The sequence below is a fragment of the Homo sapiens genome, chromosome 9 (genome assembly GCF_000001405.40).
Source record: "Homo sapiens chromosome 9, GRCh38.p14 Primary Assembly".
Classification (NCBI taxonomy): Eukaryota; Metazoa; Chordata; class Mammalia; order Primates; family Hominidae; genus Homo; species Homo sapiens.
The window spans coordinates 126,224,290-126,237,079 of NC_000009.12; the positions used below are offsets into that span (position 1 = coordinate 126,224,290).

Below are 12,790 nucleotides of genomic sequence, written 5' to 3' on the forward strand. Positions count from 1 at the left end.
CCCCCACCCCAAACCCATGCAGTCAACTCAAATTCAGCTAGGCCTGCCTGCAAACTGGCTTCAAACCTTTCCTCTCCTCTCCACCTTCCCCACTGTGCTATGCTGGCCTTCCCTCCATCCCCCCAGGCTGGTTCCCCAGACCCTTCGCAGGTCTTCCTGCCTCCACACTCCCCCAATCCCATCCATCTAACACCCACCATCAGGGTAATCCTCCAGCTGCTCAAGCATAACCTCAGAAGGCTTCTGTGGGTCTCCACTACTCACAAAATAAACCCAGGCTCGTTAACCTGGTGTTCAACGCTTTTCTGCCAACAGCTAGTATCCACTCCTTATTCCGCACATAATTCCCTCCACCTCCTTCCCCACCCTCACACATACACTGGCTCAGCCACCCATCCTCTACTGTGTCCTTGGAGACCCATAAGGTGGGAAAACAACAACGGCAAAAACGAGTTAACTGCCCTGCTCAGTAATAATAGTATTGTATGAGTTTCACTAGCTCAGTTAAGACTCCAGAATGAGGCCAGGTGCAGTGGTTCATGCCTGTAATCCCGACATTTTGGGAGGCCAAGGTGGGAGGATCACTTGAGCCCAGTAGTTTGAGATGAGCCTGGACAATATAGCGAGACTTCTTGTCTACAAAAAAAAAATGAAAAATTAGCCAAGCATGGTGGTGCATGCCCGTAGTCCCAGCTACTTGGAAGGCTGAAATGGGAGGATTGCTTAAGCTCAGAAGGTTGAGGCTGCAGTGAGCCCAGATTGTATCACTGCACTCCAGCCTGGGTGACAGAGCAAGACCTTGTCTAAAAAAAATCTAGAATGGACTATAAAGGGATGTTCTAAGAGCATCTAAAAAGAAGAAGTGGTAAATCCAGGAGAGCAATGGGGTTGCTAGGAAAAGGCCACATCAGGCTCATGCCTGTAATCCCAGAACTTTGGGAGGCCGAGGTGGGAGGATGACTTGAGGTCAGGAGTTCGAGACCGGCCTGGCCAACATGGCAAAACCCCGTCTCTGCTAAAAATACAAAAATTAGCCGGGCGTGGTGGCAGTTGCCTGTAATCCCAGCTATTGGGGAGACTGAGACAGGAAAATCACTTGAACCCGGGAGGTGGATGTTGCAGTGAGCCAAGATCATGCCACTGCACTCTAGCCTGGGCAACAGAGCAAGACTCTGTCTCAAAAAAAACAAAAAAACAAAAAAACAAAAAAACAAGAAAAGAAAAGACCACATCAGATTGGTCCATGTCCTTGTCCACAGGGTGACCAGCCCAACAGGTCAGAGAAGTGAGGCTGTAAGATGGGATCTAGGGTCCTGTGAAGTGCATGGTGAGATCCCCAGGACATGCTCAGGCAAGATGGGGAAATGTGGGATGGACAAAGACACAAGCAAATAACCCCACGACTACAGCCAATGTCCACGGGTGGGTGGGGGTGGGATCTCCACGGAGTGCCCCAGGCTCCATCCTGTTCAGCTGTATTTCACTTCCTTGTGCACGAAGGTAGAGGTGGCACCTTCGCAGGTCCCACAGAGTGTGAGCAAGAGAGCTCCGCTGGGTCCAGAGCCCAGGCAAGGAGAGAGGAGCCCGGTCGTGTCAAGGCAATGTGTCCAGGACCCATAGGGGCTCTCATATTTGAGTCCTAGACACGGAAAGGAGAGAGTCTCAGGCTACCCAGGGTGTGTGGGAAAAGGGGCCATGGTGGGGGGAGAGGGAGGGGCCACTAAAGGGGCTTTTCCTCTGCTGCTAAGCACTTTCCTTGCAGGCTCTGTGACACAGGACGAAAGTGGGGCTCCCGCAGGTTGCAGCACCTGTGCATGGTCACCTGGTCGATGAGCAGCAGGGCCAGAGCACCAACCCAGGATGTGCCGCTGTTCTAGGCTGCCTCCCATCTGGGCAGCAGCCTCCACAGCCTACAGACTAGCAGGGTTCATGGTTTTTTTCTACCTGGAACAGATCACAGAGTTGGAAGGGAGAGGAGTCACCCCCTCAGCCCTGGGGCAGCCCCCAGCACTCTCCAAGAACCCCGGGGCTCTGGGCAGCAGAGTTTGAGCACTGGGTCTAGGGTGAAGTGAACAGCCCAGGTGGCTGGTTTTGCCTCTGTGAGAGCAGCCCAGGAGAGCAGCCAGCCGAGGAGCTGCCTGAAGCTGGAGGGGCCAGGCTGGCTGACCAAGGAGAAGCATCGGGAGCAGCCGAGAGGGGCTGCACCTGATGCTGGGGGCAGGAGGGGGCTGCGAAGAGCTCCCTGTTGCTGACTGCCCACCTCTGCAGGGCTGATTGGAGGGGGGAGTAGAGGGAGCTGGGGGGTAGCACATAAAGGCTGATTCTGAGGAAGGACCTTCTCGGAGTTAGAGTTCTGCAAGGATGAGTGAGTTTCCCATCCCTGGAGATGGCCAACTGGGTGAACCCTGCGGGGAGAAATTACAGAGGGAATCCAGGCATTGCTGGACACACTGGGCCTTCGAGGGTCCTTGCAACCTGGAAATTCTGTGATGCTGTTGCATAAGCTGTTCCCACCATCTGGAATATGCCGTTTCCTCGAATTCCACCTCCACACTCAAGTCAAACCTTTCCTCTTGCAGGGTGTCTCCCCAAAGCCACCCGTCGTCCCTCATCTCATTTTCTCTGGCTCATGCGTTGTAAACTAGACACCCTATGGAACAGAAGAGAGTCAAATCAAATGCAATTGCAGGAAATTGACTAGAACCAGGGAAAACAATAGCACACACTTGTATAGCACCCACTAGTACCAGGCACTGATCCCCAAGTACACAGACATGGACCTGTTTAACCCTCACAACCATGATTGGCATAGGTATCGTGTTGGCGCCATGTTCCAGATGAGGGCAGCTGGAGACCAGGAGGAGAAGTGACCTGCCTAAGGCAATGCAGCCAGGGCCAGGGGAAGAGCTGGGATTTGAACCCAGGCAGTCTGGCTCCGGAGTCCATACTCTGAATCACTGCCTCGAGGCTGTCAGGACGATAACATGAGCCAATGCTATGAGAACACAGAGCAGAGCCGGCACTTAGTAGGCACTCGGCACTCCCGAGGCCCGTCTCCCTTTGTCTCTGCCCCTGAGTGTGCCCACCACTGTCCCTGCCCTGCCCAGCTCTGCCGCTCCCTGCTGCTCATCCTCTCTGGCTTTGTCTAGCTCTCCCTGCCCCTGTGTGTCACTCTATGTCTGCCTCCCTGTTCTTCTCCCTCCCCTGCCCTGTCTTTTGCTCTGTGTCCTTGTCTGTCCTTCTGTCCTCTCTGTGTCTTCCTGTCCCTTTCCCACCAGCCCCCACCGCGTGGACCCCGCTGACTCGTGCTTCTGCTTTCCCCGTATCCCTGGCGCCTCTCATCATCAACGCGTCCTTTGTCTTTACAAGCCGGCCTGGTCTCTCTCCATCTCTCCCTCCATTTACGAGCCTGTGTGTTAGTGGACAGGGCAGCCGATGGAGGCCACTCACTAGTGACCCATCTCTGTGATCACCTCATTATTTATCACCAGGGACGCCAGTGTTTCCATAAATTACCCCGACCTGGAGCTGCCCGCGCTGGAATCAATAGTCGCCTCTCACCTAATACCCAATTATTAATAATCACGGGGTGAAGGGTGGCCAGACATGGCCAGACATGGCACTCCAGGTTCTTGCCTGGCAGGGGGAGGGGCGGGCTGGGAGGGTGCTGGACCCCATGCTGCAAGATGCCAGCACAGGGCAAGAGGCAGGGCCTGGAGAAGGACAGGGTCCCCACATTCTCTCTAGGACTGGGCGATAAAATCTGAGCCATGGTTCCACCCTGAGGGCAGAGGGAGACACAGAGCCCCATCTTTAGGGTCCTCTAGTCTGAGGACAGGAGACCTGGCCAAGCAGTGAAGTCTGCCCTTTTAGGACCCACCGGGGCCCCTAGCCATAAGGGTGCACCTTCCCCAGAGAGGAGAGCTTCATCCTGCGGGCAGACGAAAGACTACCAGAGGCAGGTGCTAGAGTGGGGCTTTGGTTCCACCACGGCACGGGGGTCAAGAGGTGATTTTCCAGCCCTGCCCCCCGGCCCTGCAACACACACTTGGAGCCCTGCAGGTACATCTGGGTAAAGATCTGAACCTGCAGGAGCTGGTGCTTGGTGGGGTGGAGGCATGGCAGGAAGGACAGGAGGAGGAGCAGGACACCTTAAGGGGATCTACACCTGCTGGAGCCCGAGGCTGGGGGCTGGGGAGCGAATCAGAACAGCTGTCCATACACATGATGGTGGGAGAGGCAAGGCCAGCGGAGGGAGGCCAAGCCCTCAGTGTATCCTGATACCCAGATATACACACGCGCTCAACCACTGACTCTCCCTTCACTGCACCAGAGGTTCAATGGACGGACACACACACACACAGAAACACACCTCACATGCACAAACCAGCGGCATGAAAACACTTTTGCACCGAAGGCATTCTTACAAAGCAGACAGTTACATACACACACACATGGACACCTGCATAGAGTCACTGATAAACACAGATGCGTGAGGGCACCCACACACACCCACACGCAGAAATACAAGTGCATGTTTAGGCCTATGCACACATACACCCCAGATATCCCCCACACACACAAACACACAGGCACCTACACACGCTGACACAATGCACACTTGCAGCCCATCCTGCGCGCACACCCTTTTGTGCACACAGTGTGCACATGCAGCGACGCGGCCTCTAAGGGCATCTTGCGGAGTGAGGCTGAGGCTTCGTTCAACTCCTCCAGAGCCCAGTCGGTTCCAACACTGCCACCATGTGGCCTCAGGTGCACAGTGCACAGGCCATGAGGCTGGAACACCCGGCCGGTGGGGAGGAGGTCTGGCCCCAAATCTTGGGTCCCTCCATCTAGTTGAGCCGGACTGCCATTTGGCCACTTCCCAGTGAAACCGAACACAGTCCTGGAGAACTGGGTCAGACTGTGTGACAGCTGGAGCCTGCTACTGTGTGCCATTGCTGTCCATCCAGCAGGGCTGGCACCATGGCCTGTCTTTGCAACCCATGGCTGGTGACACGTGGTAGGCAGGCGGCCCCCATGTTAGTGTAGACTTGGTGCGAAGTTGTTTAAACTCTCCCAGAGAGACTGGGGTTTAATCCTGACCTGCAATGTAATCATTAGTTCACCCATCACAGTATCGAGGCTGTAATCTGTGTCGGTGTATGATGCTAGGTTGAAATTATGGTGAGCAACAGACAGTTGCCTCTCCTAAATGTCAGGGGGCCCAACACTGAAGAGATAACACAACAAATATTTATCAGGTTACACCATAGAAAACTGACATTGGTGTAGGTCTAAAATGGTCAACCACTGGCAGAGTATTCACGCAAGATCCTTTGATTCACCCTAATGATGGCAAGTGTCATACGGTTACAGAACAGGGCAGTGGGGCTTAACCTGGGGTTGGAATGGCAGGGAAGGCTTCCTTGAGAGGAACTTGACTCTAAGCTGAACTTGAAAGGGTGAGTAGTGATGAAGTTGCTCACAGGGTGGGAAGAGCTGTGCAAAGGCCCTGAGGCAGGAGAGAACTAGCATATTGTGGAAACTGAGAGAAAGCCAGTGTGCTTAGAACCCAGCACCAAAGGTGAGGGGCGTGAGTAAAGCCAGAAGGATTGGAGAACCAGGAGCTCCAGGCAGGATCCAAAGTTTAGGGCTTGGGATTATTTAGTACTTGGGACTTTTTTCCTCCCAACAGCACCAGGGAGAGGCTCGCTGAAGAAGAGTGTAAGCATGGGAATGTCATACTCAGCTTGGTGATTTCAAAAGCCCACTCTGGCTGCAGAGTGGAGAAGGACTGAGTGATGGGGTGGGGAGTACAAGCTGTTACCCACATCCAGGTGAGAGATGGCAGTGGGGAGAAGTGCACAGAGCCAAGATCTTGGTCCAGCTGCTCTCTGAGTCCAGGTTTTGTCCTCTGTAAAGTGGGCTGTAATTTCTACCTTGCAATGAGGATGAAGTAAGAAAATGAATATAAAGCACTTGGTAGGTGCCTGGCACATAAGGAGTACTCAGCAAATGGCAGCTGTGATTCCTCATCTTATCATCTTATTATTAGAAAGCACAGAGGACCTGTCCCCCTGCCCTCGCTGTGGGCTTCCAGTGGTCTGTGCCACTCGGGGCCAAGCTCACAGATGGCGCCCAGAGCTCGTGGAGGCACAGATGTTCTCGCTTTTGTTCTCAGAGGCCCTGGAGCCCTCAGGTGCCCCCATGCTCCTCAATTTACACTCAAGGTCTCCCCAGGCATAAGCACTCTTAGGGAATTGGTGCCTGGGAGGACCTTGCCAAGGTTTTCTCTCCTCCTAGATACTGCAAGGAGCTGAGGCAGACACCCAGCCACACAGGCCTGCCAAGGACGTTCATGATCTTGTAGAGATGGGGAAACTGAGGCTCGGGACAGTACATCACACACTGAGTAGCAGTGCTGGGATTTGAGACCACCCTGACTCCCAAAACTGTGCTTTTTAATTTTTTGATCCGAGGTTCAGAAACTTGAGTTAATCACACATCTCAGTTCCCGGCAGACTATTCATGCAGGATCCGTCTCCTGACTTGTTATTACTAAAAAATCGATACATGTCAATCATTCCCAGAGCCTTATTTTGTACCCGGCTCAGTGACAGGGCCCGCGCGGGTGCATCCACAGGTGGTTCAGCGGCAGGTCCTATCCTTGGGGAGCATGTGAGCTGGTGACAGTCAACTCTGGGCAAAGAACTTCCACTCTCCTGGCCGGAAGTGCTGATTTAAGGAATTTATCCAAGAAAAACAAGGACGAGGGTCTATAAAGGTGTTTGCATCAGACTAATAATAAAGATTTCATGCCCTTCAGTGAGGAATAAATGCATTATGATATATCAGTCCAGTGGAACATTATGTATCTATTAAAACTGGTGGCAAGAGCGTTCCTTTATTGATGTGGAAAGATGGCTACACTTTGTTATTCAGATTTTTAAAAAAATAGGTCATATAACAGTATTCATAGAGATTTCCATTTTGAAAAACATAGATAATACATGCATATATTTTCTTTATTCTAAGATGCACATTTTTTAACATTTGAACATTTCTAAAATCAGGATGTGCATTGCAATTAATGGATATGTTTAATGCATAGTTCTTTTCTCCAAAAGAGCCGTGTAATTAAATCAGTGATGCATCCCCCAGTCAGTGTTGTCCCAGAATCAAGAAAAACATATATATACGTACACACATAGGACAAATTCCAGAAAGACAGCAACCAAAATGCTAAAAGTCATTAAATCTAGGTGATTTCCACTTTCTTCATCAACCTTCTGTACTGTCTGGGTTTTATAAACTGAACACGAATTATTTTTATAATTAGAAAAAAATCCCCCATTTCCATATTGAAAAACAAAACAAAGTCTCAGGTCAAAAAAAGTCCAAGCTTCTCATACACAGCAGGCCAGAATACTCGCTAAACAGAGCCCCAGAAGCAGGGGACGGGAACCAAGGGGACTTGGCAGCCTGGTTGTAAAGGAGCTGGGCTTCCTAACACAGGAGGGATCTGGGTAGATGGGGAACAGGTTTAGACCCTGCAAGCCGAGGAGACAGTCTAAAAGGAGGCCTGGGGATCCAGAGCATTCCCTTAGGGTCTGGAGGGAAATAGTGTGACCGAGGCCAGGCAGATGGCAGTGGTGGTAGTTAGAATAACAACCCTAGCTGACATTTATTGAGTGCTTACTCTGTGCTGGGTACTGCTCTAAGCATTTCATACGCATTTCCTTATCGTAACAGACTGCCTTGTATCCCCGCAAGATGCATATGTTGATGTCCTAACCCCCAGTGTCTTAGAGTGTGATCGCATCTGGAGATAAGGTCTTTAAAGAGGTGATAAGGTTGAAATGAAATCACTAGGGTGGACCCTAATCCAGTATAAGTGGAGACTTTATAAGAAGAGGAGATTAGGACACACACATCAACAGACAGAAGAACAGGCAAAAGCACAAGGAGGAGAAGACGGCCATCCACAAGCCAGGAAGAGAGACCTCAGAAGGAACCAACCCCTGCTGGCACCTTGACCTCAGCCTTCTAGCCTTCAGAAGAGTGAGAAAATACATTTCTGTTGTTTAAGACCCCCAATCTGTTGCTCTTCGTGATGACAGCCCTAGCAAACTAATATACTTCCTTACCCCACAACAACCCCGTGGGGGTGGTTGTTTCAGTTATCTCTTGCTGCGTAACAAGCTGCCCCAACACTTTGTAGCTCAAGATATCAATAATAATTTGCTTTGCTCTGGAGCTTGGCAAGGTCAGCTTATCTACACTCTGCATTGCTGGGCAGACGACATTCAGGATGGCTCATGCATGTGACTCACATGACAAGCTGGTGCTGTGAGCCAGACACTTATTGTGGCCTCTCCATGTGGCTGCTCGGCCTCCTCACAGCATGGCCACTGGAATCCAACAGTGGGCATCCCAAGAGAACCCGATGAAGTACGTGGCATTCTTAAGACCGAACCTTGGGAGTCTTGTAGTGTCACTGGTGCTACATCTATCAAGGCAGTGACAAAAGTCCTCCCAAGTTCAGGGCAAGGGACCACTGTCTCCACTATCCCCTGGGAAGAGTGGCAATGCTCTTGTAAGAAGACCTTGTGGGATGGGATATATATTGTAGCTGACATCTTTGGAAAATGCACTCCATCATGATAGGTACTGTAATTATCCCCATGTTACAGGTGAGGAAATGCAGGTGGAGAGAGAATTTAAGGGACAGGCTAAGATCATGCAGCTTGTAAGTGGTGGCATTGGGTGGGTTGGTGCTGGATCATGAAAGGCCTTGAATGCCAAATCCAAGGTTGAGGTTTAAAGTCGGTGCACAATAGAGAGCCAGTGAGCTTTTGGAAGCAGAGAATGAAATCATTAGGTCTGTGTTCAAGGAAAATCGTTCTGGCTGCAGGATAGAAAAAGGAAGAAGGATAATCTGGAGGCAAGAGGAGGCCGGGGCCACAGTGCTAGGGAGGGGATGTGGACCAATCCAGGGCAGTGCTTGGGGGCTGGAGGGAAGGGCCCCGCTGCTGCTTCTAGGCAGGAGGGCCTCTGGGTGATGAGTAGCACCGACCCCACTCCTCTGCGGACCAGCTGAGGTCCCCGCTCCCTTGGCTTCCCAAGATCCACCGTCTCATAAGATACCTGTGGGCCCTCCTTCTTCAGGGAGTCTGGCGAGGGCCCTGCTGGGTTTGATCTCACTGCACAAAGCCAGCACATAACAGGTCCTTAGTGTTTGCCGAATGAGCAAATGGTGAGTGAATGAATTAATGAGTGGGAGACAGGCCGTAAAAGAAAACTGATAAACTAAGGGAGAAAAAAAGCCAAATATACCTTAACCATGCAACTTCACGGAATCACAGATCTGGGGGGACTAACTGGGTGGTGACTAGAAGCATGGCCAGAATGTGGGGGGGTGGGTGGGTGGAGGCAGGAGTTTAAGAGGCCTCTTGAAGCTGTCCCAGGAGAAAGACCAGAGCCGGGATGGGGCTGAGCCCTGATTGGATATAAGGGTGTTCATCGCGGATGTTCCACCAATGAGGCAATCAGCTCTTCCGCCGCGTCCGCAAAGGCGAGATTTCGCGCGTGTTTGAATCCCTGCTCTGCGACCCATTCACAGAGATGTCTCGAGCGCAAGCCTTCTCTGCAGTTTTCTCAGCTGCACCGTGGAGGTGAGAGCGGCACAGCCCTCCCCTGGTAGCAATGCGGACCTGGGAGGCACTGGGTGAAAAGCACCAGCTTCGGTCGGGCTGGAATTGGGGGCTACTGGGGACTCCTGGCCAGGGCCATGGCCCCGCAGTGGCGTGTGCTGGAGTAATGGTCCTCTCACTTTTCTTCCCCGCCACCGGACTGGGAGCTCCTGACGGGTAGAGACTGTGTCCCAGGGCTCATCCCAGGGCTGGCAGGAGGAGGACTTGGCAAGGTCTAGGGTGTTAGCTTCAAGAACGGGTGCACTTCCCTAGGGGGCTGTTCACAAAGGGACGCAGAGCATGGAGGGGCAGCCAGGCCTCCACTATCTCATGCAGCCTGCCCCATCGGCAGACCCTGTCTGGATGCCAGCCGGGAAGCCCGGGGCCACAGAAACGCCGCAGCAGAGCCAGCCAGGCCCATGGGAAACGGGTCAAAGGCAAATGAGGGACTTCCAGCGGCTAGGAACCAGAGAGAGAGGAGGCAGGGAGGGGACACCTGGGTGGACAGAACACCTACAACATGCCAGGAGGAAGTCATGTTCTCCTCCCCATTTTACAGATGGGAAAATTGTGAGCTTTGTCCTGTATTACTCCACGGAGACTTCGAGGAGGGGAAGGAGGGAGACGTGGATAAGGCGCAGGGTGGGCCGTCCCCGGCAGCAGCATCTTGGGATCAGAGAACGGCCAGCTGTGGTCTCCAGGTCCTTGCACCCCAGGTTCTGTGCCTCAAGCACCCTGGCTTGGGCTTCCCCTGGGTTGGGCCTCTAAGTTTCCTCTGAGGGGCATTCCTTCTGGGTTCACCATTCAGATCAACCTAGGCTGACAGAAAGCCAAGAAAGAGTAGATTTCTCTCTTCTGCGCTTGAGGGGCAGAGACAGTGGGGGTCACTGGTACCCTGGAGGATGGGGCCAGTTCAGAGATCCTTGTGAATGAACACCAGTGAGACAGGATCACAGGACAGGCTGGTGGCTCCCATGTTCCTGCCTTCTCTCGGGGCCAGATTCACCTTCAGATTCCAGGGCCCACACCCCTGTGTCCCAGCATGACCTGGAAGGAATTCCAAATAGTCCCAAGGGTTCCCGGACCTAAACCTGGGGCTACGGGCTGGGCTTTGGGCTCAAGCTGAACTCACCCCCCGTCTTCTGCCTCATGTCATCTTCACCCAACTAGGATCCCTGCTGGTCACCGCTCAGCCCCTTGCCTGCCCTGGTCAGGGCAGGAAGCTCGTCTGGTGCCAGCAATAGGCACCAGAATTGGCCACACTGCCCTAAGGCCATCAGCAGCCCCGCAGGACCCCAGCCTTGCCCATGCCCTCTCCAGCTGGCTCAGCTCAAGGCCAAGCTCTCATAGCCCTTTGGACACTGATTCAAACAGCTCCCCGTCCTGCAGCCTGGCCTACAGCCAGGCCAGGTCCTGCAACGTTCCCCCCCCAACCCCCTCAAACCAGCGTGTTCAGAGCCCCCGTGCCCCGCCTTCCCCCAAAGCCTGCCTCCCCTGATTTCTGTTGGATTTGACATTCGCCCTGTGGCTCAGACGCCCAGGACCCCCCACAGCCCTGCCTGGGGACCCAGCCCGGGTTCCAGCTGGCTGGCGAGCCCAGCCAAGCATCACCGCTCCCGCGACATCCCTGAGTGACAGGAAACAACTCGCTCCTTCCAAGAGGCGAAGCTCTGACAAACACTCACTAGGAAATAATAAAGTGGCAAAATAATTCTGCATCGGACACACTTACCAGAGCAGAAAGCGTCTGCGGAGGAGACAACATCTTGTACCATCTATCTTCCTTAAATCCTCACGCTGTGACAAAGTGGAGGGCGAAATCATGATGAATGATCGGACACATTTAGCCAGTACCTGTGCTCTGTAACGAGCGTGGCCCGGGAAAGGGGCCCTAATGAAGATCTGTGCCCCCGCCCCAAACCGGGCCTCGTCGGAAACAAGTCTTTATTACGAAATTGGCGCCTAGTTTTCATACCACGCAGGATGGAGGCGCAAGGTGTGACATGAATTAACGCCGGCACCTGCAGGGTCAGCCCAGCCCTCGCTGGCGGTACAGAGACAAACGGGTTCGGCTCCCGCCACCACCCTGCGTCTGGTTGACAAGGCGCCAGTCGCCTTCGGATTGTGCGGGAACACGCCTCGGTTTTGTTCCTACCCGGCCCGCCATCATTTATTCTGCTGCCTCATTTGAATATGATGAATACTGTAGTCCTTTATTTGTTCACAACAACCAAATAATTGTAGATCCGTGGGCTTCGGGGCAATTAATCACATTTTTCCCTCCACCAATCCACTATAAACATGACATTGAACAATAAAGTACATTAACCTCTGCTTTGCACAAAACTTTGCTTATTTAAACACCGCAAGGTTATTTGTTTTCCTTCTTGCCAGGCCCCTGCCATGAAGAAGAGGTAGTGCGGAGAGAAGGCCCACCCCATACTGGGCAACCACACCAGCCCAGCCCAGCCCCCAGCTCAGCCAGGCCCGGGGCCTAGTGTTAGGAGCGAGCAGGTGTGGCTGCAGGCCCTGGAGTGGGCATCCCGGCAGGACCTGAGTCTGTGTATACGTGTGTGTAAGCATGTGTGCACATTTGTGTGTGTATGCACAGCTGTCACTATGCGCATACTTGTGTGAATGTGTCTGTATTGCACATGTGTTCCTGTGCATATATATGTTTATATATGTCTGGTCTCAGAATAGAGGTTCTGAGGAAAAAGTCTAAGTGTGTGTGTGTGTGTGTGTGTGTACTTATAAGCGTTCTTGTTTGCACATGTGTGGCCATTTTAAAATACGGCTGCAAATTATTTCACATCCTTCCCATCAAGAGGTGGGATCTATGTCCTCCCCTCCTTGAATCGGGGTAGACTTGTGACTGCTTTGACCAAATCTCAGTGAGGTCAAAAAAGGCCACGCAGCCTTCGCTTTGTTCGTGGGAACACTTACTCTTGGAGTCCTGAGTTGCCATTTAAGAATCCCAGCTACTCCGAGGCTACCACGCAAAAGAGGCCACATGGAGAGGCCCTGAGATCTCAAGGAGAGAGACAGAGAGAGAAAGAGATGCCGGATGAGTACCCAGCCATTCAAGACATCCC

The 12,790-nt window shown here is 52.7% G+C and overlaps 1 long non-coding RNA gene across 1 annotated transcript, besides 1 other annotated feature; it reads right to left on the reverse strand.

Moving 5' to 3' along the window:
* Positions 1–1,799: 1,799 nt before the first annotated feature.
* LOC105376275 (uncharacterized) lies at positions 1,800–11,562 on the reverse strand. The gene is made up of 3 exons (XR_930357.1): positions 11,428–11,562; positions 2,476–2,650; positions 1,800–1,944 (listed from the first exon to the last, which is right to left on the reverse strand). It is a non-coding gene; the product is annotated as an uncharacterized LOC105376275 (long non-coding RNA).
* Positions 4,792–4,871: a silencer, noted in NCBI's record as "silent region_20285". NCBI's record gives its function as "represses an Ori minimal core promoter by ATAC-STARR-seq in GM12878 lymphoblastoid cells {active_cell/tissue: GM12878}" and the evidence as "EXISTENCE:reporter gene assay evidence [ECO:0000049][PMID:35858748]".
* Positions 11,563–12,790: the final 1,228 nt, after the last annotated feature.